This window comes from Homo sapiens, chromosome 17, assembly GCF_000001405.40.
Source record: "Homo sapiens chromosome 17, GRCh38.p14 Primary Assembly".
Lineage (NCBI taxonomy): Eukaryota > Metazoa > Chordata > Mammalia > Primates > Hominidae > Homo > Homo sapiens.
The window spans coordinates 60,655,479-60,683,114 of NC_000017.11; the positions used below are offsets into that span (position 1 = coordinate 60,655,479).

The 27,636-nt window shown below is 43.9% G+C and overlaps 2 protein-coding genes and 1 pseudogene across 11 annotated transcripts in view, besides 3 other annotated features; 2 read left to right on the forward strand and 1 right to left on the reverse strand.

Moving 5' to 3' along the window:
- PPM1D (protein phosphatase, Mg2+/Mn2+ dependent 1D) overlaps positions 1-10,802 on the forward strand; it is a 66,088-nt gene extending 55,286 nt beyond the window's left edge. The window contains exons 5-7 of one of the 3 annotated variants that reach the window (XR_934577.3): positions 1,121-1,363; positions 1,454-1,564; positions 7,517-10,802. Coding sequence is in view for 1 of the 3 variants with exons in the window: in NM_003620.4 (NP_003611.1) it covers positions 1,121-1,363; positions 7,517-8,074 (801 nt within the window). In the remaining 2 variants the exon portion in view is untranslated. Of the gene's footprint in view, positions 1-1,120; positions 1,364-1,453; positions 1,565-4,161; positions 4,451-7,516 lie in introns of those variants that run through there. The other 2 variants (XR_007065507.1, NM_003620.4) reach the window with 2 other exon arrangements.
- RNU6-623P (RNA, U6 small nuclear 623, pseudogene) lies at positions 6,855-6,959 on the reverse strand (annotated as a pseudogene).
- Positions 21,753-22,506: a silencer, noted in NCBI's record as "fragment chr17:58754592-58755345 (GRCh37/hg19 assembly coordinates)". NCBI's record gives its function as "represses an EF-1alpha promoter that drives an FKBP-Casp9 reporter gene in an ReSE screen in HepG2 liver carcinoma cells {active_cell/tissue: HepG2}" and the evidence as "EXISTENCE:reporter gene assay evidence [ECO:0000049][PMID:32094911]".
- Positions 21,925-22,094: an enhancer, noted in NCBI's record as "active region_12533". NCBI's record gives its function as "activates an Ori minimal core promoter by ATAC-STARR-seq in GM12878 lymphoblastoid cells {active_cell/tissue: GM12878}" and the evidence as "EXISTENCE:reporter gene assay evidence [ECO:0000049][PMID:35858748]".
- Positions 22,265-22,414: an enhancer, noted in NCBI's record as "active region_12534". NCBI's record gives its function as "activates an Ori minimal core promoter by ATAC-STARR-seq in GM12878 lymphoblastoid cells {active_cell/tissue: GM12878}" and the evidence as "EXISTENCE:reporter gene assay evidence [ECO:0000049][PMID:35858748]".
- The window catches only part of BCAS3 (BCAS3 microtubule associated cell migration factor), a 714,981-nt gene continuing 709,717 nt past the window's right edge, over positions 22,373-27,636 (forward strand). For all 8 annotated transcript variants that reach the window (NM_001353144.2, NM_001353145.2, NM_001330413.2 and 5 more), the window contains exons 1-2: positions 22,373-22,436; positions 23,975-24,062. In NM_001353144.2, coding sequence (NP_001340073.1) covers positions 23,980-24,062 — 83 coding nt within the window. In that variant the 5' untranslated portion in view covers positions 22,373-22,436; positions 23,975-23,979. The remainder of the gene's footprint in view (positions 22,437-23,974; positions 24,063-27,636) is intronic.

Below are 27,636 nucleotides of genomic sequence, written 5' to 3' on the forward strand. Positions count from 1 at the left end.
GCTGGGATTACAGGCACACACCACCATGCCTGACTAATTTTTGTATTTTTAGCAGAGATGGGGTTTCGCCATGTTGGTCAGGCTGGCCTTGAATTCCTGACCTTGCAGTCCACCTGCCTCCACCTCCCAAAGTACTGGGATTAAAGGCGTGAGCCACCACACCTGGCTACTTTCTTTTTAAGTAACTTCTTTATAACTTTTTCTTTTCTTTTTTTCTTTTTCTTTCTTTCTTTTTTTTTTTTAAATGGAGTCTTGCTCTGTTGCCTAGGCTGGAATGTGGTGGCCTGATCTTGGCTCACTGCAACCTCCGCCTCCTGGGTTCAAGCGATTCTCCTGCCTCAGCCTCCTGAGTAGCTGGGACTACAGGCATGTGCCGTCGCGCCCGGCTAATTTTTTGTTTTTTTAGTAGAGATAGGGTTTCACCATGTTAGCGAGGATGGTCTCGATCTCCTGACCTCATGATCCACCCGCCTCCTCCTCCCAAAGTGCTGGGATTACAGGCATGAGCCATTGCGTCTGGACAACTTTTTCTAAATAAAGTTACAGTGAAGGCTGAGTTTCTTGATAAAAATAAAAATAGTGAAATTTAATGACAGGATAAAACCTTGTTTTATTAGTATTTTTTGAATTTAGAAAAGTATTATTTTAACATGGCTAAGGAGACTGGGGATAATGTTTGAAAATTTGGGAGCTTTGGCTGGGCGCAGTGGCTCACACCTGTAATCCCAGCACTTTGGGAGGCAGAGGCGTGTGGATCGAGGTCAGGAGATCAAGACCATCCTGGCTAACATGGTGAAATCCCGTCTCTACTAAAAATACAAAAAATTAGCCGGCCATGGTGGCGGGCGCCTGTAGTCCTAGCTACTCGGGAGGCTGAGGCAGAAGAATGGCATGAACCCGGGAGGCAGAGCTTGCAGTGACCCGAGATTGCATCTCTGCACTTCAGCCTGGGTGACAGAGGAAGACTCTGTCTCAAAAAAAAAAAAAGAGAAAAGAAAAAAAAAAATTGGGAGCTTTGTTTGGGCCACAGCGAACACCAAATATTTAATTTGATATAGATACAGATGTAGTGGCAGCTAAATCTGAGTTACTTTCCTTCTCCTTGTTCTTTTGAATACAGGGTGAGCATGGACAATCTTGTGCCAAAATGCTTGTGAATCGAGCATTGGGCCGCTGGAGGCAGCGTATGCTCCGAGCAGATAACACTAGTGCCATAGTAATCTGCATCTCTCCAGAAGTGGACAATCAGGGAAACTTTACCAATGAAGATGAGTTATACCTGAACCTGACTGACAGCCCTTCCTATAATAGTCAAGAAACCTGTGTGATGACTCCTTCCCCATGTTCTACACCACCAGTCAAGGTATATAGTTCCATAGTTTTTAAGTTATGTTTTAATAGACACCAGTTCTTTGGTTAGCGTCACCTGGAAACAATTTTTAAATTCTTACAGGATTTTGGATTTGAACTCGATTCAAGAAAGTGATGTAACTTATTATCAGAGAGCCATCTTTACATCAATACTAATCTGAATGCCAGCCATGTGTACAGCACTAATAAAAAGGTGATTGTGGGCCCTTAAGAATATTATTGTTTGCCATCTAATGCTATGAACATTATTTTTAAAGCATTTAGAAGTTTGTGAAGCACTTAAATATATTTTATTTGAATCTCGTAGCCCAGAAGTAGAGCTAATGTTATTATTTCATTTTATCAGTAATAAGCCTGAGAGATTAAACTGTCTAAACAAGGTCATAGAGAATCAAAATTGAGCTGGACCTGAGGATAGCAGACGTTACAACTGGTTGTCTGTTAACTCGTATAAGAAACTTTATTCCTATTTCTTATCCATGTTAATATTGATTGAGTTTAAGATATGCTTTGAAATAAGCAAATTTTAAGTAGATATCATACTTTTTTGATTTACTAAGAACTCAAATACTTGGTTGTGTTTTCATCCTAATTTTTCCCACCAAAAATTAGCAGTATTGATTGATAATTGCTTTAATACATAGCATGGCTAACCTGGCTTTCTGAGAATGTGTTTTCAGTAGACTGACCATTAAAATGGGAAATGTAGGGAAATCTAATGTCACCTATTCAGGAAGTTTTTTAAAGTGTCAAAGGCCTTTAATTTTGGGCGTCGTAATCCTATAGTCAATACTTGGAAATGGATTATTACTGCTTTGCTTTCTTTCACTTTACATACATATGGCAAAAACCACATATGGCCAGATACAATGGAATGTTTTCATTTCTTTTTCTTTTTTTTGTTTTTGAGACAGAGTTTCACTCTTGTTGCCCAGGCTAGAGTGCAATGGCATTATCTTGGCTCACTGCAACCTCTACCTCCCAGGTTCAGGTGATTCTCCTGCCTCAGCCTCCCAAGTAGCTGGGATTACAGGTGCCCGCCACTACGCCCTGCTAATTTTTTGTATTTTTAGTAGAGATGGGGTTTCACCATGTTGTCCAAGCTGGTCTTGAACTCCTGACCTCAGGTGATCCACCCGCATCGGCCTCCCAAAGTGCTGGTATTATAGGCCTGGCTGAAATGAAGTATTTTCATTCACAAAAGGTTTCTTTTCTTTGAAAACCATGAATGGTAATGCAGGTTGAAACCCTTTAAAGCCTCTTTATTCTCTTTTCAAAGCTGTGAAAGAGCTTATGTTTGTATATTTGCGTATTTCTGAATATTTGTATGTAATTATTACTTTCATGTTCCCTTATAACTGACCTTTAGGCAGTATAGAGAAGGAGGAGACATTAGGGTGGGGAATAGTGTGAGGAACAAAAGGGCATTCTTAATATTGACCTCAAATAAAAATTATTGCAGTCTGCTGACTGGCATTAGTAAACCCATACATAAAATACGTTTAAAAAATTACTTAAGCTGGGCACAGTGGCTCATGCCTGTAATCCCAGCACTTTGGGAGGCTGAGTTGGGCAGATAACCTGAGGTCAGGAGTTTGAGACCAGACTGACCAACATGGAGATACCCCATCTCTACTAAAAATACAAAATTAGCCAGGTGTGGTGATGCATGCCTGTAATCCCAGGTACTTGGGAGGCTGAGGCAGGAGAATCGCTTGAACCCAGGAGGCGGAGGTTGCGGTGAGCCAAGATCGTGCCATTGTGCTCCAGCCTGGGCAACAACAGCAAAACCCCATCTCAAAAAAAAAAAAAAAAAAATTCCTTAAATTCTGGGCTGGGCGTGGTGGCTCACGCCTGTAATCCCAGCACTTTGGGAGGCAGAGGCACATGGATCATGAGGTCAGGAGATCGAGACTATCTTAGCCAACATGGTGAAACCCCATCTCTACTAAAATACAAAAAATTAGCTGGATGTGGTGGCTCGTGCCTGTAATCCCAGCTACTTGGGAGGCAGAGGCGGGAATCGCTTGAACCCGGGAGGTAGAGGTTGCAGTGAGCTGAGATCGCGTTGCAGCACTCCAGCCTGCTGACAGGGCAAGACTCCATCTCAAATAATAATAATAATAATAATTCTGATAATGACCTAATAATACTACTAAAGTAAAGATAAGAAGACGTATGTTTGCCATATGCAGGTATAGTTATTTGTTAACCCATTGGCCCTGCCCAAATATGGGAAAATATTTAGGTTAATTCAGAATAATTAGTATTGTTGGCTCTGATCTAACAACTAACAAAAGACAGATTTCTGCCCAAGAAATTGTTTTTGGTTTGTTTTATTTACCTTAATTGACATAAAGGTGAGTACTCCTGACTATATTTAATTTACATCATTATTAAAGTTGTCTCATGTTTAGTAACATAGAGATAAATTTAATTATAATGTGGTTAATGTTGAACAGTCAGAGACTTAATCACATTTAGACAAGGCATTTGAGACTAGATTTGTCTGTAAACATGTCAGCTTCCATTTGAATTCTCACATAAATTAGTCTTTGTTTTGGGATGGAGATAGTGGAAAAGCCTTTGTTTAAGTAAGATAGATTACTATGACACACATTTCTTTCTCTGTCCTTTGTTTAGGGCAAAACTAAATTTAGCTATGTTTTACAAGCTAAGATCTTTAAGAACGGAATGGGGAAGAGAGCAAAGAGTTTCAGAAAATTAAAACTTAGTTTTAGTTGCATTTTAGGCACAGTTTGTAATTAATTGTTTAATATTGGATTACAGGGTAGATGGGAGGAGAAAGTTGATCTCTGAAGCAGTGAACTTTTTTAAAGTATGTATTTTTAGGGGTAACCTCAATATCACATAACTGTTTTACGAACATGCAGGCCTTAGCAATACAAATTAACCTGGGGTACATCTAAGAAGTCTAAACAGTTGCCTGTGCTAACAGATACAATGTATTCCCACAGAATGCCAATAAAAAGAGAATTCCCTTCAGAAATGTTCAAGAAGAAAGTAGGGGAAGGGAAGCCAGCACACCTGTGGTGTCAGAATAATATTCTGTGCATTTAGGCTGGGTGTGGTGGCTCACGCCTGTAATCCCAGCACTTTGGGAGGCCGAGGCGGGTGGATCACAAGGTCAGGAGTTCGAGGCCAATATGGTGAAACCCTGTTTCTACTAAAAATACAAAAATTAGCTGGGTGTGGTGACATGTGCCTGTAATCCCAGCACTTTGGGAGGCCGAGGCAGGCTGATCACCCGAGGTCAGGAGTTTGAGACCAGCCTGGCCAACATGGTGAAATCCTGTCTTTACTAAGAATACAAAAGTTAGCTGGGTGTGGTGGTGGGTGCCTGTGATCCCAGCTACTTGGGAGGCTGAGGCAGGAGAATCGCTTGAACCCAGGAGGCGGAGGTTGCATTGAGCCAAGACTGTGCCATTGCACTCCAGCCTGGGCAACAAGAATGAAACTCTGTCTCAAAAAGAAACAAAAACAAAAAAACAGAGAAGTGATGTATTTGGGGCAGTACCAGATTAGTAACTAGAAATTCTTTGTCCTTTTCTTCAGTGTCCATTGGTCCTAAAGTCTATATATATATGTGTTTTTCAGTAAAGCATATTCATATCTATGATTAGATCGAGATCATTTTAGAAACGAGTTTCTGGGCCGGGTGTGGTGGGTCACTTAAGGTCAGGAATTTGAGACCAGCCTGGCCAACATGGTGAAACCCCATCTCTACTGAAAATACAAAAATTAGCTGGGCATGGTGGTGAGCACCTCTAACCCCAGCTACTCGGGAGGGTGAGGTGGGAGAATCGCTTGAACCCGGGAGGCAGAGGTTGCAGTGAACAGAGATCGCGCCACTGCACTCCAGCCTGGGTGACAGAGCAAGACTCGGCCTCAAAAAAAGAAAAAAGGAAGCTTCTGGATGCCTTCAATTTCCCTTTCATTTTATTTTTTGAACCTCCCTGCCTCCCTTATTTCCCTTTGTTTTTAACTCTAGACAAATTAAAGGAAACATTCCTATGATAAGTATACTTTTATATAGCACTTCTAAGAAAGTTGTATATTCAGGCTGGGCGCAGTGGCTCACGCCTGTTATCACAGCACTTTGAGAGGCCGAGGCGGACAGATCACCTGAGGTCAGGAGATCGAGACCAGCCTGACCAACATGGAGAAACCCTGTCTCTACTAAAAATACAAAAAAAAAATTAGCTGGGCATGGTGGCGCATGCCTGTAGTCCTAGCTACTCAGGAGGCTGAGGCAGGAGAATCCCTTGAACCTGGGAGGCAGAGGTTGTGGTGAACCAAGATTGTGCCATTGCACTCCAGCCTGGGCAACAAGAGCGAAACTCCATCTCAAAAAAAAAAAAAAAAAAAAAGGAAAGGTGTTTATTTATAGGAGATTTTATTTCGGAGAAAGATCAGATAAATACGTCTTCATTTGCTGCTCTGCTTGGGCTTTTCAGAATCTATTAATATTTTGATACATTTGATTGAGAGTCCACTTGAGGAAAATTTTACATGTTTGGGGGAGAGAGTATTTATGCTTTAACTCTGGACCTTGATAAAGTATTAAGACAATGATTTTATGAAATGTTATTACTTTGGAAGAGCTGGGTTTGATAGTAAGAATGTTCTTATCTGGAGGTGAGCGGCTATTCTGAGTATATGTAGATTTAGAGCACTACACTCAAAGTAGTGGTGCATATCTAGATTGACATGAAGCGTTGTGAAAACAGCATTTTTAAAAACAATAAAGTGCCTTGGATAATTCTCATTTGTTTTCATCAATTGGGAATTTCCCTAACCATTCTCAGAATGGTCCCATGTGTACTACTTTTCTCAAATCACAGAGCAGTATCTAGTGTTTGCAGGATGGGTGCAAAGCAGCATTCTTCTGAGTTTCCATTATGACCATTATGACATAGTTGCTTTAATGTTGTACTTTGCTTTAATGATGTGCTTTAATGTTGTAATGCTTTCCACACTACATACTCAGAAATTAGAATTTAGGAGATAGGATAAACCAAAAAACTACAAATTTGTTGCTTATCCTACTGAGATGCTACCATCCCCTCCAGTGGTTACACTGGTTTTCATTACTAGAAAATTCAGATTTTTATTTTTAATTTTAATATTTATTTATTTATTGTGAGACGGAGTCTCACTCCGTCACCCAGGCTGGAGTGCAGTGGTGCGATCTCTGCTCTCTGCAGCCTCCACCTCCTGGGCTCAAGCAGTTCTCCTGTCTCAGCCTCCAGAGTAGCTGGGATTACAGGTGCACACCACCATGCCTGGCTAATTTTTGTATTTTTAGTAGAGACGCAGTTTCACCATGTTGGCCAGGCTGGTTTTGAACTCCTGACCTCAAATGATCTGCCCGCCTCGACCTCCCAAAGTGCTGGGATTACAGGGGTTAGCCAGTGTGCCCGGCCAAAAATTGAGATCTTTAAAAGCTTTTTTTTCTTTTTTGAAATAGGGAACGCTTCATGAATTTGTGTCATCTTTGCACAGGGGCCATGCTAATCTTCTTTGTATCATTCCAATTTTAGTATATGTGCTGCTGTAGTAAGCACTTAATGGCATCTTAAAGCAATTTTTTGATGGTTCTTATGGAAAAATATGACTTTTATGAAAAATAGAGCGATTTCATCAGCATTATGTTATTACCAAAAGTAAATTAAAATGCACACAGAGAATGCGATACTTTTGATCTTCTCCATGTTTGAGTACAGAATAGTGGAAGAGTGAATGTGTGCCTATGGTTAATTTTGAGGGTTTGTTTTGAAATCTTGTTCCTTAATGTATCTTATTTTTGTTTACCTGCCAATGGATAGAAAATGCTTGTGACCACGTGAATTTTCACCCACTTGAATAGATTACTTTATAATTTCATCTATTACCCTGAAGACAGAATTCAATGTCATTCTTACCTTTATATTGTCTTCTCACTCAGGTTCCTCCCATTAAACCTTAACACATAGTTCAGTAAATAGAAGGTGAACGAATTAGTGAATGCATACCCCGTTTTTGCCATCCTACTAGCTTCATAAGAAGCCTAATATCACATGCATAGATTTGTTGAGTTCTGGGATAAATTTTTTCTTATTTGTTTTACCTTCTTATTTTTCAGTCACTGGAGGAGGATCCATGGCCAAGGGTGAATTCTAAGGACCATATACCTGCCCTGGTTCGTAGCAATGCCTTCTCAGAGAATTTTTTAGAGGTTTCAGCTGAGATAGCTCGAGAGAATGTCCAAGGTGTAGTCATACCCTCAAAAGATCCAGAACCACTTGAAGAAAATTGCGCTAAAGCCCTGACTTTAAGGATACATGATTCTTTGAATAATAGCCTTCCAATTGGCCTTGTGCCTACTAATTCAACAAACACTGTCATGGACCAAAAAAATTTGAAGATGTCAACTCCTGGCCAAATGAAAGCCCAAGAAATTGAAAGAACCCCTCCAACAAACTTTAAAAGGACATTAGAAGAGTCCAATTCTGGCCCCCTGATGAAGAAGCATAGACGAAATGGCTTAAGTCGAAGTAGTGGTGCTCAGCCTGCAAGTCTCCCCACAACCTCACAGCGAAAGAACTCTGTTAAACTCACCATGCGACGCAGACTTAGGGGCCAGAAGAAAATTGGAAATCCTTTACTTCATCAACACAGGAAAACTGTTTGTGTTTGCTGAAATGCATCTGGGAAATGAGGTTTTTCCAAACTTAGGATATAAGAGGGCTTTTTAAATTTGGTGCCGATGTTGAACTTTTTTTAAGGGGAGAAAATTAAAAGAAATATACAGTTTGACTTTTTGGAATTCAGCAGTTTTATCCTGGCCTTGTACTTGCTTGTATTGTAAATGTGGATTTTGTAGATGTTAGGGTATAAGTTGCTGTAAAATTTGTGTAAATTTGTATCCACACAAATTCAGTCTCTGAATACACAGTATTCAGAGTCTCTGATACACAGTAATTGTGACAATAGGGCTAAATGTTTAAAGAAATCAAAAGAATCTATTAGATTTTAGAAAAACATTTAAACTTTTTAAAATACTTATTAAAAAATTTGTATAAGCCACTTGTCTTGAAAACTGTGCAACTTTTTAAAGTAAATTATTAAGCAGACTGGAAAAGTGATGTATTTTCATAGTGACCTGTGTTTCACTTAATGTTTCTTAGAGCCAAGTGTCTTTTAAACATTATTTTTTATTTCTGATTTCATAATTCAGAACTAAATTTTTCATAGAAGTGTTGAGCCATGCTACAGTTAGTCTTGTCCCAATTAAAATACTATGCAGTATCTCTTACATCAGTAGCATTTTTCTAAAACCTTAGTCATCAGATATGCTTACTAAATCTTCAGCATAGAAGGAAGTGTGTTTGCCTAAAACAATCTAAAACAATTCCCTTCTTTTTCATCCCAGACCAATGGCATTATTAGGTCTTAAAGTAGTTACTCCCTTCTCGTGTTTGCTTAAAATATGTGAAGTTTTCCTTGCTATTTCAATAACAGATGGTGCTGCTAATTCCCAACATTTCTTAAATTATTTTATATCATACAGTTTTCATTGATTATATGGGTATATATTCATCTAATAAATCAGTGAACTGTTCCTCATGTTGCTGAATTTGTAGTTGTTGGTTTATTTTAATGGTATGTACAAGTTGAGTATCCCTTATCCAAAATGCTTGGGACCAGAAGTGTTTCAGATTTTTTAAAATTTTGGAATATTTGCTTTATACTGAGCTTTTGAGTGTTCCCAATCTGAAATTCAAAATGCTCTAATGAGCATTTCCTTTGAGCATCATGCCTGCTCTGAAAAAGTTTCTGATTCTGGAGCATTTTGGATTTTGGATTTTCAGATTAGGGATGCTTAACCTGGATTAACATTCTGTTGTGCCATGATCATGCTTTACAGTGAGTGTATTTTATTTATTTATTATTTTGTTTGTTTGTTTGAGATGGAGTCTCACTCTGTCATCCAGGCTAGAGTGCAGTGGCGTGATCTCGGCTGACTGCAACCTCTGCCTCCCGGGTTCAAGTGATTCTCCTGCCTCAATCTCTCTCCCCAGAAGCTGGGATTACAGGTGTGTGCCACCACACCCGGCTAATTTTTTTTTTTTTTTTTGAGATGGAGTCTAGCTCTGTCATCCAGGCTGGAGTGCAGTGGTGTGATCTCGGCTCCCTGCAACCTCTGCCTTCTGGGTTCCTGCGATTCTCCTGCCTCAGCCTCCTGAGTAGCTGAGATTACAGGCACGCGCCACTGTGCCCAGCCAATTTTTGTATTTTTAGTAGAGATGGGGTTTCACATGTCAGTCATGCTGGTCTTGATCTCCTGACCTCGTGATCCACCCGCCTCGACCTCCCAAAGTACTGGGATTACAGGCGTGAGCCACCGCATCCGGCCTGAGTTTTATGCTTTCAATGTATTTCTTACATTTCAGTTCAAGTGATTTTCATGTCTCAGCCTCCTGAGTAGCTGGAACTACAGGTGCGTGCCACCATGCCTGGCTAAGTTTTGTATTTTTAGTAGAGATGGGTTTTCATCATGTTGGCCAAGATGGTCTTGATCTCTTGACCTCATGATCCACCAGCCTAGGCCTCCCAAAGTGCTGGGATTACAGGTGTGAGCCACCGTGCCCAGCCAACTATGCCATTATTTAACCATGTCCACACATTCTGGTTATTTTCAATATTTTGCAGAAGATAATTCTTGATCGGTGTGTCTTATGCCACAAGGATTAAAATATGTATTCATTGCTACAAAACAATATCTCGAAATTTAGCAGTTTAAAACAACAAATATTATCTCCAGTTTCTGAGCCTCAGAAATCTGAGAGTGGTTTAGCTGGGTGATAGTCTCGTGGTTTTGGTCAAGCTACCAACCAGGGCTACAATCTTTCGAAGGTGTCATTGGGGCTAGAAGATCTGCTTCCCGCAAGACTCACAGCTGTTGGCAGGAGACCTCAGTTTGTTGCCACATGTTCCCCTCCAGAGGGCCTCTCACAACATGGCAGTTATTTGTCCCCAGAGCAAGCAACACCGGAGGGCAAGGAAGAAGCCATGATGTTTTTTGTAACCTAGCCTCTGAAAGTGTCATACCAATTCTGTATTTTGTTGGTCACACAGACCAAGTCAACTACAACGTGGGAGACTCCTACACAAGGCATGAATTCTAGGAGGTGGGCATTTTTAAGTGTCATCTGGAAGGAGGCTGTCACAACCTGGAAGTTAAAAGCATTGATATTCTGAAATACAGCGTGTATAACATTGTTTTAGTAGGGTGTGCAATAGTTATGTTTTGGTAATAGCATTAATGAACAATGTTATTTTCATCTTCCAGACATCTGGAAGATTGCTCTAGTGGAGTAAAACATCTTAATGTATTTTGTCCCTAAATAAACTATCTCACTAACAAAGTTGAGAATAATTTTTTTTTTTTTTAACAGGGTCTCACTGTCCCCAGGCTGATGTGGAGTGCAGTGGCAAAATCATAGGTCACTGTAACCTTTAACTCCTGGGTTCAAGTGATCCTCCCATCTCAGCTTCCTGAGTAGCTGGGACTACAGGTGCATATCACCACACCTGGTGGATTTTAAAAATTTCCTTAGAGACAAGGTCTCACTGTGTTGCTCAGGCTGGTCTTAAATTCCTGGCCTCAAGTGATCCTCCTGCCTCGGCCTCCCAAAGTGCTAGGCAAATTTTAATCTTAGAGACAAAATATTTAGGCAGTATTAGTGGTTGCATTAGGGATTACAATGTACATACACTTATAGACTACTTAGAATCAATGTTCTATGACTAAAAGTGGAATGTAGGAACGTTACTAGCCAGGTGTGGTGGCATGTGCCTGTAGTCCCAGCTACTCTGGAGTCTGAGGTAGGAGGATCACTTGGGCCCAGGGGGTTGAGGCTTCAGTGAGCCGTGATCACACCACTGCACACCAGCCTGGGCAACAGAGTGAGACACTGCCTCAAAAATAAATAATAAAAGTAACAAAAGTTTTAGCAAAAGGAAAAAAAGTTAAAAGAAAGCAAGCTGGGTATGGTGGTGCATTCCTGTAGTCCTAGCTACTCAGGAAGCTGCGGTGGGAGGATTGCTTGAGCCCAAGAGTTCCAGGCTATAGTGTGCGATGATCACACCTGTGAATAGCTATTGGACTCCAGCCTGGACAGCATAGTTAGGCCCTGTCTCTTACACAAAACACAAAATAACAAAATGAAAACAGGTCGGGTGCGGTGGCTCATGCCTGTAATCCCAGCTCTTTGGGAGGCTGAGGTGGGGGGATCACCTGAGGTCAGGAGTTTGAGACCAGCCTGGCCAACATGGTGAAACCCCATCTCTACTAAACATACAAAAATTAGCTGGGCGCGGTGGCACACACCTGTAATCCCAGCTACTTGGGAGGCTAAGGCAGGAGAATTGCTTGAACCTGGGAGGCAGAGGTTGCAGTGAGCTGAGAATGTACCACTGCACTCCAGCCTAGGTGACAAAGTGAGACTTCGTTGCAAAAACAAAAACAAAAAAACAAAAACAAATGGAAACAGAGAAGAATGTGGTGCTAAAAAAAAAATCTAGGCTGGGCACGGAATATGCCTGTATTCCCAGCACTTTGAGAGGCTAAGGTGGGTGGATCACTTAAGGTTAGGAGTTTGAGACCATTCTGGCCAACATGGTGAAACCCTGTCTCTACTAAAAATACAAAAATTAGCCAGGCATGGTGGTGGATGCCTGTAGTCCAGCTACTCAGGAGGCCGAGGCAGAAGAGTCACTTGAACTCGGGAGGCGGAGGTTGAATTGAGCCGAGATCGGGCCACTGCACTCCAGCCTTCGCAACAGAGTAAGACCCTGACTCTAATAATAATAATAATAATATAATAATAATAATAATAATAATAATAATAATTAAAGATGGCTTTAAAACATCCTAAGTCTAATGAGTCATAAACCTACAAATTCAAGCTCAGCAAATCCCCAAACAGAAAACATTAAGAAATCCTGACATAACCAAATTGCTAAAAACTAAAGAGAAAAACAATCTTGAAAGCCACCAGAGGGAAAATATAATGCATACTGACATACACAGGACTAATTTAAATGACTGCATATTTCTCTTCAGAAACCATGATAGGGCCGGGCATGGTAGCTCCACCTGTAATCCCAGCACTTTGGGAGGCCGAGGTGGGTGGATCACTTGAAGTCAGGAGTTTGAGACCAGCCTGGCCAACACGGTCAAACCCCATCTCTACTAAAAGTAAAAAAATTAGCCAGGCATGATGGCGTATGCCTGTAATCCCAGCTACTTGGGAGGTTGAGGCAGGAGAATTGCATGAACCCAGGAGGTGGAGGTTGTAGTGAGCCAAGACAAAGCAAGACTCCGTCTCAAAAAAAAAGGAAGAAAAAAAACAAACATGAAGACCAGAGGAAGCGGCATTTTCATTTTTTTGAGACAGAGTCTTGCTCTGTCACGCCCAAGCTGCAGTGCAGTGGCTCAATCTCGGCTCACTGCAACCTCCACTTCCTGGGTTCAAGTGATTCTCCTGCCTCAGCCTCCTGAGTAGCTGGGACTACAGGTGCGCACCACCATGCCCGGCTAATTTTTGTATTTTTAGTAGAAACGGGGTTTCACCATGTTGGCCAGGCTGGTCTCAAACTCCTGACCTCAGGTGACACACCCACCTTGGCCTCCCAAAATGCTGGATTACAGGCATGCGCCACCATGCCTGACCACCTTGTGTATTTTTTAAAACAGTTGATAAAACTAAGGTTTGAGGGCTGGCCGTGGTAGCTCATGCCTGTAATCCCGGCACTTTGGAAGACCGAGGCAGGTGGATCACCTGAGCTCAGGAGTGTGAGACCAGCTCTGCCAACATGCTGAAAACACATCTCTACTAAAAATACAAAAATTAGCTGTGCATGGTGGCGCGTATGTGATGGTGCGCACCTGTAATCCCAGCTACTCTGGAGGCTGAGGCAGGAGAATCACTTGAACCCAGGAGGCAGAGGTTGCAGTGAGCCGAGATTGAGCCACTGCACTTCAGCCTGGGTGACCAAGGGAGACTCTGTTTCAAAACAAAACGAAACAACAACAAAAACAAGATTTGGTCGTTGTCGGCAGTTTCACTTTCCTGTATCTTTATAACTGTCTATGGTTGTTTTTTTTGGGTTTTTTTTTGGAGAGACAGGGTCTCATTTGGTTTCCCAGTGTGGAGTGCAGTAGCACAATCACAACTCACTGCAGCTTTGAACTCTTGGACTCCAGTGATCCTGCTGCCTCAGCCTCCCGAGCAGTTAGGACTAAAGGCATGGGCCACCACGCTCAGCTAAGTTTTACTTTTTTTGTAGAGATGGGGTCTCACTACGTTGACCAGGCTGGTCTCAAACTCCTAGGCTCAAGCAATCCTCCCGCCTCAGCCACCCAAAGTATTGGGATTCCAGGCCTGAGCTACTGTTACTGGAAAGGGGTCCTGATCCAGACCCCAAGACAGGGTTCTTGGCTCTTGCACAAGAAAAAATTCGGGGTGAGTCCATAAACTGGAAGCAAGTTTATTAGGAAAGTAAAGGAGTAAAGAATGCCTCTTCCATAGACAGAGCAGCAGGATGAGCTGCTAGTTGGCCATTTTTATGGTTATTTCTTGATTATATACTAAACAAGGGGTGGATTATTTATGACTTTTCCGGGAAAGGGGTGGGCAATTCTCGAAACTGAGGGTTCCTCGCCTTTTTAGACCGCATATGGTAACCCCCCTGACACTGCCATGGTATTTGTAAACTATCCTGGCCCTGGTAGGAGTGTCTTTTAGCATGCTAATGTATTATAATTCGTGTATAATGAGCAGTGAGGATAACCAGAGGTCACTCTTGTTGCCATCTTGGTTTTGGTGGGTTTTGGCAGGCTTCTTTCCCGCAACCTGTTTTATTAGTTAAGGTCTTTATGACCTGTATCTTGTACTGACCTCCTATCTGATCCTGTGACTTAAAAGGCCTAACCTCCTGGGAATGCAGCCCAGTAGGTCTCAGCCTCATTTTACATAGCCCCTCTTCAAGATGGAGTTGCTCCAGTTCAAAGGCCTCTGACACCACCGTGCCTGGGCAATAGTAGGAGCTCCGACATTTAATTGTTCCTGTTAGTGAATAGAGCATCATGGAGAATAAATGAAACAAATAAATAATCGTTTCTGGTAAAGAGATTTTGTTACATTTCAGTTACAGGCAATAGAATTATAAGCAGTTACAAAGCAGCACTGATGTGTCAAAGATAAAGAATGACCACACTTGGCCTGGCTGTGGCTCACTCCTGTACTGCAACTGCAACTCCCAACAGTTTGGGAGGCGAAGGCAGGCAGATTGGTTGAACCCAGGAGTTTGAGACCAGCCTGGGTAACAAAGTGAGACCCTGTCTTTACAAAAAAAATTTAAAAATTAGCTGGGTGTGGTGGTACGCACCTGGGCTGAGGCAGGAGGATCCCTTGAACCGAGAAGGTTGAGGCTGCAGTGAATTCTGATTGCACCACTGTACTCTAGCCTGAGTGACAGGGATGACCATACTTAATAGTTTGCCCGGAGCAGTCCTAGTTTACTTTTTTTTTTTTTTTTGGTGTAATTATTAGAAGAGCCTCATTTCACTGTCCTGACAAGATGACAAATTCTATGACCACTTTATAGATACTAGTTGGTTTCAACAGAATGAAAAACTAAAGGAAAATAATCACCGTATCTTCAGGATTTTTTTTTTTTTTTTTGAGACAGAGTCTTGCTCTGTTGCCCAGACTGGAGTGCAGTGGTGCCATCTTGGCTCACTGCAACCTCCCCCTCCTGGGTTCAAGCAATTCTCTTGCCTCAGCCTCTGGAGTAGCTGGGACTACAGGCGTGTGCCACCATGCCCGGCTAATTTTTGTATTTTTAGTAGAGACGGGGTTTCACCATGTTGGCCAGGCTGGTCTCGAACTCCTGACCTCAGGTGATCCTCCCGGCTCGGCCTCCCAAACTGCTGGGATTACAGGCATGAGCCACCACGCCCGGCCATCTTCAGGATGTTTGCTGGACTTGGGAAGGAGCAGAGGGATCCAACATAATAAACAACTGCAAAGACTTAAAATTTTGAATAGAAATTATGGGGAAATGCTGTTTTAGAAAGCATGATTACCTAGTACCTAGTATTCAGGATGGACAAATGGCAGGCACTAATTGTAATCAATAGAGGTGAGGTGATAGGAGTTTGGATTATGTTGGTTTTGCTAGTCTATGAATTTTGGGATTCTACTTTGGGTAGTGTTTAGAAATTGGGACCTAATGAATGCATCAGAAAAAGTCAATATCATGAGTAATCAATATATTTTTATCTTACAAGATAAAATCCTAGCTACAGCTAGAGGATTTTAGAGAAAAGTGATGAGGTTTTATTTTTTAAACTTTTTAAAATACTTCGCTGAAAATTAAAATACTAATGTTCACCACAGTTTTGTGTGAAAACAGGTTGTTTCCCTGCTGCTGAAATTACAGGATCATTATTCAAGTGTTTTTGGTGGCCTGGGTCAGTGAGGCAATAGCTTAAGGCTTAAAAAACAAACAACAAACAAACCAAAAGAAGAATCCTAACCAAAGCAAAAACACACCAGAAAGTACACACTGATCTTGAAATTTGGTTTGCATATGGACAGCTCCCTGATTATTCTCTAGGGATTTTGATTTTTTGTTCTGTAGGGTCATATGAGAGGCAATCTTGGTCATTAGTAATTTACTATACTGGGCCAAGGAAGCAATTGGAAGAACAAAGAACTCCCTTAAAGTTACTCTTTTCCATTAAAGATGAGTTTCGTAGCTGGGATTGCTAGGTAGCAAGAACAAATAGTTCACTGAAGAGTTTCTCCATGTCTCTGTACTTTGAAGTGACTCATGAGCTGGCAGTATGTACAAAGCACCCACTAGTTTCTTCCATTAAAAAATATGATCACCACACGTTTTATCTCCAGTGAAGGCTCATAAGAGAATCTCAAACCATCTTTGTGGATAATAAAATGGGGTAATTAGAACTGGCTGGTCGTTCGTTTGGAGAAATTTCTTTCTTTCTTTCTTTTTTTTCTGAGACGGAGTTTCGCTCTTGTTGCCCAGTCTGGAGTGCAACGGTGCGATCTTGGCTCACCGCAACCTCCACCTCCCAGGTTCAAGCGTTTCTCCTGCCTCAGCCTCCTAAGTAGCTGGGATTACGGGCATTCGCCACCACGCCTGGCTTATTTTTTATTTTTAGTAGAGACGGGGTTTCTTTCTCTTTTTTTTTTTGAGACGGAGTCTCGCTCTGTCGCCCAGGCTGGAGTGCCATGGCGTGATCTCGGCTCACTACAAGCTCCGCCCCTCGGGTTCACAACATTCTCCTGCCTCAGCCTCCCAAGTGGCTGGGACTACAGGTGCCCGCCACCACGCCCGGCTAATTTTTTGTATTTTTAGTAGAGACGGGGTTTCACCGTGTTAGCCATGATGATCTCTATCTCCTGACTTCGTGATCCGCCCGCCTCGGCTTCCCAAAGTGCTGGGATTACAGGCGTGAGCCACCGCGCCCGGCCCTTAGAGACGGGGTTTCTCCACGTTGGTCAGGCTGGTCTCGAACTCATGACCGCAGGTGATCCGCCTGCCTCAGCCTCCCAAAGTGCTGGGATTACAGGTATGAGCCACTGCGCCCGGTGCATTTGGAGAAATTTCTACTTTGATCTAAGAACTTTAAATTTGGGCTGGGCGGATGACTCACGCCTGTAATCCCAGCACTTTGGGAGGCTGAGGCGGGCACATGGCTTGAGCTCGAGTTCGAGACCAGCCTGGGCAACATGGTGAAACTCCATCTCTAGAAAAAATACAAAAATGGCCGGGCTCAGTGGCTCACGCCTGTAATCCCAGCACTTTGGGAGGCCGAGGTGGGCGAATCACGAGTTCGACACCAGCCTGGCCAACATGGGGAAACCCTGTCTCTACTAAAAATACAAAACATTAGCTGGATGTGGTAGTGGGCGCCTGTAATCCCAGCTACTCGGGAGGCTGACGCAGAAGAATTGCTTGAACCCGGGACACGGAGGTTGCAGTGAACCGAGATTGCACCACTGCACTCCAGCTCAGACGACAGTGCAAAGACTGTCTAAATTAAAAAAAAAAAAAAAGAAAGAGAAAAAAAGAAAAAGAAAATAAAAAATACAAAAATTACCAGGAGTGGTGGTGCAGGTCTGCCGTCCCAGCTACTCAGGAGGCTGAGGTGGGAGGATCACTTGAGTCTGGGAAGTCAAGGTAGCAGTGAGCTATGATTGTGTCACTGCACTCCAGCCTGGGAGACAGACTGACACTCTGTCTCAAAAAAAAAAAAAAAAAAAAGAAAGAAAGAAAAAATGGCCAGGCGCAGTGGTGGCTCACGTCTGTAATCCCAGCACTTTGGGAGGCCGAGTCAGGCAGATCACGAGATGAGGAGTTCCAGACCAGCCTGGCCAATATGGTGAAACCAGACCAGCCTGGCCAATATGGTGAAACCCCGTCTCTACTAAAAATACAAAAATTAGCCAGGCATGGTGGTGCACACCTGTAGTCCCAGCTACTCAGGAGGCTGAGGCAAAAAGAACTGCTTTAACTCGGGAGGTGGAGGTTGCAGTGAGCCCACATCGTGCCACTGCACTCCAGCTTAGGTGACAGAGTGAGACTCTGTCTCAAAAGAAAAAAAAAAAAGAAAAAAAAACTTATTTAGTCATAAAAAGCCTATGGGGTCGGGTGCAGTGGTTCACACCTGTAATCCCAGCACTTTGGGAGGCTGAGATGGGAGAATCACTTGAGCTCCGGAGTTCAAGATCAGCCTGGGCAACATAGGGAGGCCCTGTCTCTACAGAAAAAAATTTTTTAATTAGCCAGCATGTTGGTGTGTGCCTGTAAACCCAGCTACTTAGGAGGCTGAGGTGGGAGGATCACATGAGCCGAGGAGTTGGAGGTTGCAGTGAGCTATGATTGCACTACTGCACACCAGCCTGGGTAACAGCAAAACTGCCCCCCTCTGACGCCCCTGCTAAAAAGAAAGCCTATGAGGCTCATAATATTCTTTTTTTTTTGGAGACGGAGTCTTGCTCTGTTGCCCAGGCTGGAGTGCAGTGGCGCGATCTCGGCTCACTGCAAGCTCTGCCTCCCAGGTTCTCGCCATTCTCTGCCTCAGCCTACCGAGTAGCTGGGACTACAAGCGCCAGCCACCACGCCTGGCTAATTTTTTGTATTTTTAGTAGAGATGGAGTTTCACCATTAGGATGGTTTCGATCTCCTGACCTCATGATCCGCCCTCCTCGGCCTCCCAACGTGTTGGGATTACAGGCCTGAGCCACCGCGCCCCGCCCATATTATTCCTTCTACAATTTACAAAGGATGAAACAATGAAGGCACAGAAATTTACCAAGAAATGTAAAACTCAGCTAGTGTTCATCCTATTTGTAAATGGCACCACTCAGCTGATCAAGCCCAAAACACAGAAAACATCTTTTTTTTTTTTCCTCTAACACCTTTAAGGTTTCTTGGATTTGAACATCCTTGATTCTTTCCCTTTGGGTCCGGAGTTGGTTCCTTCCGGTGGATTCGTGGTCTGACTTCAAGAACGAAGCCGAGGACCTTCTCGTTGAGTGTTATAGCTCTTAAAGGTGGCATGGACCCAAAGAATGAGCAGCAGCAAGATTTATTGTAAAGAAGGAAACAACAAAGCTTTTAGCTTTCCACAGAGTGGAAGGGGCCTGGAGCAGGTTGCCGCTGCTGGGGGGAGTGGCCAGCTTTTATTCCCTTATTGTCCCCGCCCATGTTCCGTTTCTGTCCTAGCACAGTGCCCTTTCTTCAATCTTCCCCACGATTGGCTTTTAGACTCCTGCTGATTGGTACGTTTTACAGAGCACTGATTGGTGCATTTTACAGAGCACTGATTGGTGCATTTTACAGAGTGCTGATTGGTGCATTTTACAATCCTCTTGCTAGCTACAGAGCGTTGATTGGTGCGTTTTTACAGATCACTGAATGGTGCATTTTACAATCCCCTTGCTAGCTACAGAGTGCTGATTGGTGCACCTTACAATCCCCTTGCTAGCTACAGAGTGCTGATTGGTGCGTTTTCCAATCCTAGCTACAGAGTGCTGACTGGTGTGTTTTACAATCCTCTCCTAAGACAGAAAAGTTCTCCAAGTCCCCACTCTACCCAGGAAGTCCAGCTGGCTTCACCTCTCACCTTCATCCTGTAACCGAGTCCTAACTTGTTCTGCTCACTGCATGACAGCCAAGGGGTGAAGAGTCAAGGAGTTAGAGCAAGGATAGTAACTTTATTTCTGAGAGCTAGCAAACCCGGAAAATTGCAGAATAATGTACTAAAGAACCATCTTTTTGGCTGGGCATGGTGGCTCACGCCTGTAATTCCAGCACTTTGGGAGGCCAGGGCGGGTGGAACATGAAGTCAGGAGTTCAAGACCAGCCTGGCCAAAATGGTGAAACCCCGTCACTACTAAAAATGCAAAGAATTAGCCAGGAGTGGTGGCGGGTGCCTGTAATCCCAGCTACTCAGGATGCCGAGGCAGAAGAATCGCTTTAACCCGCGAGGTGGACGTTGCAGTGAGCCAAGATTGAGACACTGCACTCCAGCCTGGTGACACAGTGAGACTCCATCTCAAAAAAAAAAAAAAGTTGGAGTCTTGCTCTGTCGCCCAGGCTGGAGTGCAGTGCCTTGATCTTGGCTCACTGCAACCTCCACCTCCCGGGTTTAAGTGATTCTCCTGTCCCAGCCTCCCGAGTAGCTGGGACTACAGGCGCACACCACCACGTCCAGCTAATTTTTGTATTTTTAGTAGAGACGGGGTTTCTCCATGTTGGTCAGTCTGGTCTTGAACTCCTGATCTCAGGTGATCCACCTATTTCGGCCTCCCAAAGTGCTGGGATGAGAGGTGTGAGCCATCACACCCAGCCTGAAGAACCATCTTAAGTTAGTACACATTTCAGGCTCTTTTTGTGTTAAGGGCAGGGGGAAGAAGAGAGGGTTTGAATCAAGGGGTGACTGATGACCGTAGACATCTGGGCGCCAGCAAGGGTTCCTCGAGGCCTGAAGCCTCTCTGTTACTGGTCAGGTCACAATACTTTCTCAAACTCTCAACATTGTTACTTGTGTGTACACCCTCCTTTTCTCCTTGGGGGTTAGTTTTGGGAAGGGACTATTATCATCCTTGCTTTAAAGTTAAACTATAAATTCCTCCCTTGGTTAGCTTAGTCTATGTGCAGAGATAAGCAAAAGCAGTTAACTTAGATATCACCGATGGGTGGGAGTGGGGAGTTTAGGAGCAAAATGGAGTTAGTCATGCTAGGCCTCCTTTTCAATGTTACAATTCCACATTATCAAGTTATTTCAATCCCACATTATCAAGTTATTTCAATATTTCCAAATATATTCTTCTTCTTCTTCTTCTTCTTTTTTTTTTTTTGAGCGAGAGTTTTGCTCTGTCGCCCAGAGGCTGGAGTGCAGTTGCACGATCTCGGCTCACTGCAACCTTCACATCTCGGATTCAAGCGATTCTCCTGCCTCAGCCTCCTGAGTAGTTGGGATTACAGGCGTGCACCATCAAAACCCGCTGATTTTTGTATTTTTAGTAGAGACAGAGTTTCACAAAGTTGGCAAGGCTGGTCTTGACCTCCTGACCTCAAGTGATCTGCCCCTCTCAGCCTCCCAAAGTGCTGGGATTACAGGTGTGAGCCACCGTGCCCGGCCTTTTCTTTCATTTCTTTTTTTAAAATTTTTTAAAATTTTATGTATGTATGTATGTATGTATGTATGTATGTATGTATGTATGTATCTATCTATCTATCTATCTATCTATCTATCTATCTATCTATCTGTCTTGAGAGGGACTCTCTGTCACCCAGGCTAAAGTGCTGGAGGGCAATGGCGTGATCTATAGGCTCACTGCAATCTCCGCCTCCTGGGTTCAAGCAATTCTTCCGCCTCAGCCTCCCCAGTAGCTAGGATTACAGGCATTGGCCACCACACCTGGCTATTTTTAGTAGAGACGGGGTTTCTTCATGTTGTCCAGGCTGTTCTAGAACTCCTGGCCTCAAGCGATCTTCCCGCCTAGGCTTCCCAAAATGTTGGGATTGCAGGCGTGAGCCACCACGCCCAGCCCACCACGCCTGTTAATAAGCTATACCCTCACGGACCTGTCATTGGCATTAAATTTGATAATACATTAGAGTATTGTATATGAAGTATACGAAGGCCTGTGCTGAGTGTTCAAGAAGTCAGTCAGTATTATTCTACTTATATTAATAAATGAACTGATGAAATGACAATGGCGAGATCTCGATCTTCAACAATAAGGGAGATGGAAACTGAAGCAAGAAGTGGTCTACAAACCTAGCTCAAATTGTTGAGATTACCGGCCGTGCCCCTTATTCAGATCAACCCCTCCTCGGCTGATCGCCGGCGCGAGCCAGCCTAGGCTCCCGGAAGGTAAACACATCGCCAAGGGCTGGGCAGAAGGCGGGTGTGGGACGGGTGAGTGGCCAGCTAAAAGTGATTGGCAGCTGCCATGTCCACGTGCTCCGAGCTTGGAACCAGCTGTCGCGAGAATTCGATGTAAACAGACCAGTCTCCCTGTCCTCCGGCTCCAACCTGAAACGCTCACGTGAGCGGGACAGGAGTCTGGATCATGTTGCTTTTCTTTTCAAAGCCACGAAGGTTCTGTCTTCCAAAAAAAATGTACATGTTCGTAATTATTCCCCAGCTGCCTGCGTTTGCAACCGAACCTGACACCTCGGCTTCACCCGAACTTACATGCTGTTGTGTTTTCCCTCCAGCCCCAGCGGATTGGACACATTCAGAAGGCGGGTCCGCCTCTTTCCTACTTGCTGGTTGGCGAAGCTGACCTCCAAGGGCGGTGCCCGGCCATAGCCGGTTTGCTTCTGGGATTGGCTAGAGGGGGTGGTTCCGCTGAGGCGTGGTAGGAAGTGGCTGCCGTCAATCACTCGGGGAGACTCCAAACAGTGAGCCTAGAGCTGGAGACTAGCGTTAACCGGCGGGGCGGCCGGTGAGAGGGCTGGCAGGGCTTTGGCTTTGGGGAGGCTTGGGGAGGACGAGGGACTGGCGGCGTGAGGGGACTGGGTCGGGCTGGCAGGAATTCGACAGGAGAGAGGTGTCGATACTGGAGGGGGAGGGGAACAGTGCAAGGGGCCGGAGGGCGGCCGGGGGCAGCGGTGGCTCCGTGTTGGAGGTTAAGTGGGCAGCGCCGTACGAGTGTCTTTCAGGAGACTGGGGCCTGAGTGGCTGGCGAGGGTCGTCCCCAGGAGACAGGGCCCTTAAAGGGCAGGGCTTGGGAGACTGTGGTTCGAGAAAGCAAGAATGGGATGAGAATGAGAGGGCTGAGGGGCTGGAGGTGCAGGTATCCTCTGAGGAGGTGGTGGCTCTGCTCCTTGGGGCAGAGGGTGTTTTGGTTGTAGGAGGTGGGGCGCACAGGTTTAGAGTTTTCACATCAGGTGTGAATGCTCCCTACTTAAAAATGGTTTTCGGTGCCTTCAAGATGAGTTCCAGGTTGTGGGCTTCCCTGAGCCCTGTAAGAGATCTTTGATATTGCTGTCAGTCCTCTTTTAACCTTAACCAAGCCGACTCCATGCTCTTAAAATCTCAGTGATTCAGAGGGTCATGAAACATTCTAGGATCAGGATTTACTGATGTGACGGGAAAGGGTAAAGGGCTGTAACAACGTATTAGTTTATGTTAGTTATTTGACTACTTGCTACTAGTCAAATAATTACTTGACTTATTTGTTATAGTAGCAGGGGGTTACGAATGTGATTTAAATTGTGATTTACTCATAGATTCCCAACAGGTTTAATTGGAAGGTAGAGTGATATCATGTCACTTGTTCCGTTTGGTCTTGAAATATTGTACCATGTGTATTTTCACTATCTCAACATAAAATTGCAGTAAATTCCCATCCCATGATCTGGTTCTCTCACCCTTGTAATTTATGTTAACAACAGACCAAGGGGTACAGCAGGAGTCTTCCTTACATTGTTTTGTGGTTCTGAGACCTGGTCCTATTAAAAAACAAAACAGGATGGGCGCGGTGGCTCAAGCCTATAATCCCAGCACTTTGGGAGGCTAAGGCGGATGGATTGCTTGAGCTCAGGAGTTCGAGACCAGCCTTGGCAACATGGTGAAACCCCGTCGCTACAAAAAAATATAAAATTTAGCTCGGCATGGTGGCGCTCGCCTGTAATCCCAGCTACTCAGGAGGCTGAGGCAGGAGAATTGCTTGAGCCTGGGAGGCGGAGATTGCCATGAGCAGAGATCGTGCCACTGAACTCCAGCCTGGGCGACAGAGCGAGACTCTATCTCAAAAATAATAATAACCCCCCAAACCCCTCATTATAATTTGAAAAAAATTAAAAACCTACTTCCTCCTTTTTTCCCTTTCTGGTGTAACAGGAATTTCTGGGAAAGTTTCCTACATTTGAGGCATTTTTGACAAGGGATCTCTAGTGAGTAATCATAAATCTTCCTCCCTACCCCCAACAACGATCCATGTTTTTCTGTTTTTTGTTTGTTTGTTTGTTCTGGAAACAGGTTTTATGAATGAAGCTATGGCTACAGATTCCCCAAGAAGACCCAGTCGTTGTACTGGTGGAGTTGTGGTTCGCCCCCAGGCTGTCACGTAAGCACATTTCAGATAAACCCAATAGCTGAAGAAAAGATTACTCAGAATACTAACATTTAGGTTTTCTTTATGAACAGTGGTTACTTTTGTAAAAATCTTTTAACTGTTGGCTTTATGGGATGAATAATAATAATTGCCAAGACCAAATGAAGAATTGGAGAGTTAAGTTGACGTATTCAGCACATTTACAGAGTACGTGAAGAGCACTATGCTAAATCCTGAAGAGCAGTGTTTTCAAACTCCAGGTTTAACAAATTAGTGGATTGTTAAATCAGTTTAGTGGGTCAGGAGTTGTAGTAGAAAATGAAATAGAGGCCGGGCGCAGTGGCTCATGCCTGTAATCCCAGCACTTTGGGAGGCCCAGGCAGGCGGATCACGAGATCAGGAGATCGAGACCATCCTGGCTAAAACGGTGAAACCCTGTCTCTACTAAAAATACAAAAAATTAGCCGGGTATGGTGGCCCCTGTAGTCCCAGCTACTCGGGAGGCTGAGTCAGGAGAATGACGTGAACCTGGGAGGTGGAACTTGCAGTGAGCTGAGATCGCGCCACTGCACCCTAGCCTGGGCGACACAGCAAGACTCTGTCTCCAAAAAAAAAAAAAAAAAGAAAGAAAATGAAATAGAATATAATAGAAAATTAGAAAATATAGCTGAGAGTTTGTATTGTTTCATGACATGCACATAAATATGTTCATGTGTATGTATATATTTACCAGACAGTGATGTAAAATGTATCTCTTTTAACTTTTAAGTTCAAGGGTACATGTGCAGGTTTGTTATATAGGGAAACTCATGTCACAGGGGTTTGTTGTACAGATTATTTCATCACCCAGGTATTAAGCATAGTCCCCATTAGTTATTTTTCCTGACCCTCTCCCCGCTCCCACCCAACTCTGATAGGCACCAGTGTGTGGTGTTCCCGTCTATGTATCCATGTGTTATCTATAAAAGGAATCTCTTAGTCTAGGTCTCTGTCAGAAAGTTTCAAAGTAAGTGTCATAGTATATGTCTCTGTTTTTGGCATTCTTTGACAAAGAATGTCTATACTTACTAGAGTGAGTTTATAATCTAATATGGTTTGAAGATATGTATACTTTTTTTTTTTTTTTAGATGGAGTCTCACTCTGTTGCCCAGGTTGGAGTGCAGTGGCGCCGTCTCGGCTCGCTGCAGCCTCCACCTCCTCCTCTGTCTCCCAGATTCAAGCGATTCTCCTGCCTTGGCCTCCCAAGTAGCTGGGATTACAGGCGAGCGCCACCAGGCCTGGCCAAATTTTGTATTTTTAGCAAAGACGGGGTTTTGCCATTTGGCCAGGCTGGTCTTGAACTCCTGACCTCAGGTGATCTGCCTGTCTTGGCCTCCCAAAGTGCTAGAATTACATGTGTGAGCCACTGTGCCTGGCCAAAGATATGTATACTTGAAGGCTGACATGGGAGGATTGCTTGAAACCAGGAGTTTGACACCAGCCTGAACAACATCCTGAGACCCTCATGCCTTAAAAAAATACAAAAATTAGCCAGGCATTGTGGCAGGCGCCTGGAGCCTTAGCTACTCGGGAGGCTGAGATGGGAGGATCACCTCGGCCCAGGAGCTTGAAGCTGTGGTAAGCTGTGATTGTGCCATTACACTCCAGCCTAGGTGACAGAGTGAGACTGTGTCTTAAAAAAAATATATGTCTGGGCGCAGTGGCTCATGCCTGTAATCCCAGCATTTTGGGAGGCTGAGGTGGGCGGATCACCTGAGGTTGGGAGTTTGAGACCAGCCTGACCAATGTGGAGAAAACCCGTCTCTACTAAAAATACAAAACTTAGCTGGGGGTGGTGGCAATAGCCTGTAATCCCAGCTACTTGGGAGGCTGAGGCAGGAGAATCGCTTGAACCCGGGAGGCGGAGGTTGCAGTGAGCTGAGATCGCACCACTGCACTCCAGCCTGGGGGACAAGAGCAAGACTTCATTTCCAAAAAATAAGAAAAATAAATAGATATATTTTATATGTATATATATTATTCTTTTTTTTTTCTTTTTTTGAGATGCAGTCTCGCTCCATTGCCCAGGCTGGAGTGCAGTGGCATGATCTCGGCTCACTGCAACCTCCGCCTTCTGGGTTCAAATGATTCTCTTGCCTCAGCCTCCCAAGTAGCTGGGATTACAAATGTGGATCACCACGCCTGGCTAATTTTTGTATACATATATATATATTTTTTGAGACGGAGTTTCGCTCTTTTTGCCCAGGCTGGAGTGCGATGGCACGATCTCGGCTCACCGCAACCTCCGCCTCCTGGGTTCAAGCGATTCTCCTGCCTCAGCCTCCCGATTAGCTGGGATTACAGGCATGCGCCACCATGCCTGGCTAATTTTGTATTTTTTAGTAGAGACAGGGTTTCTCCATGTTGTCCAGGTTGGTCTCAAACTCCCAACCTCAGGTGGTCCGCCTGCCTCAGCCTCCCAAAGTGCTGGGATTACAGGTGTGAGCCACCGCGCCCGGCCTAATTTTTGTATTTTTGGTAGAGATGGGGTTTCATCAAATTGGCTAGGCTGAAGCAAACAAGTGAATAAGTAAAATAATGACAGGCTGTGATTGTGCACCGTGTACTACAATGGAGAGTGACAAAGGAGAATACATATAAGGCTGTCCCGGAAGCTCTCTCAAAGGAGGCAGCACTTAACCCGGAGAACTAAAAGGAAGGGAAGGGGATGGGAAGGAATCCAGATAGAAAGAAAGGTGGTATAAAGGTCTTGATTCAAAGAAGAACTTGGTGTGTGCTAGGAATTGAAGTTGCATATGGCTGAATCAGAATAAGGAGAGTGGCAAAAAATGAGGTTGGAGAGGTAGCCTAATAATTTTCTTTTTTAGGCCTAATCGATTTTTGTAGGTCTCTAGGGCATATTGCTTTTTTAATAGGATTTATGATAAATCATATTATTTTCAAGTGTGATTTTTCACATCTCTTGAAATGGATTTGAATTAGTATTTTGATTTTTTCGTTGTTGTTTTTTTGAGACAGAGTCTTGCTTTTTTGCCCAAGCTGGAGTGCAGTGGCGCGGTCTTGACTCACTGCAACCTCCACCTCTTGGGTTCAAGTGATTCTCCTGCTTCAGCCTCCCGAGCAGCTGAAATTACAGGGTGCACCACCAGGCCCAGCTAGTTTTTGTATATTTAGTAGCGACAGGGTTTCACCATGTTGGCCAGGCTGGTCTTGAACTCCTGACCTCAAGTGATCCACTCGCCTCGGCCTCCCAAAGTGCTGGGATTACAGGTGTGAGCTACCACGCCTGGCCTAAAATAGTATTTTGAAGAAGTTGTTTTTTTCCACTTGCTGAAATTTACGTACTTTGTATTTAAAATACATTAATTTAGTGTCCTTACTTAATTAACAGTGTTATTTTTTTCCCCTTCCCTTTTTTTGTTTGTTTTTTAGAGATGGGGTCTTGCTATGTTGCCTAGTCTGGCTGCCAACTTCTGGGTTCAACTCCACCTCAGCTTCCTAAATAGCTGGGACTATAGGCACATGCTACTGCATCCAGCTTTCCCTCATTTTTATGCATTTTAATTTTTTTCCATGTCTTTTCTA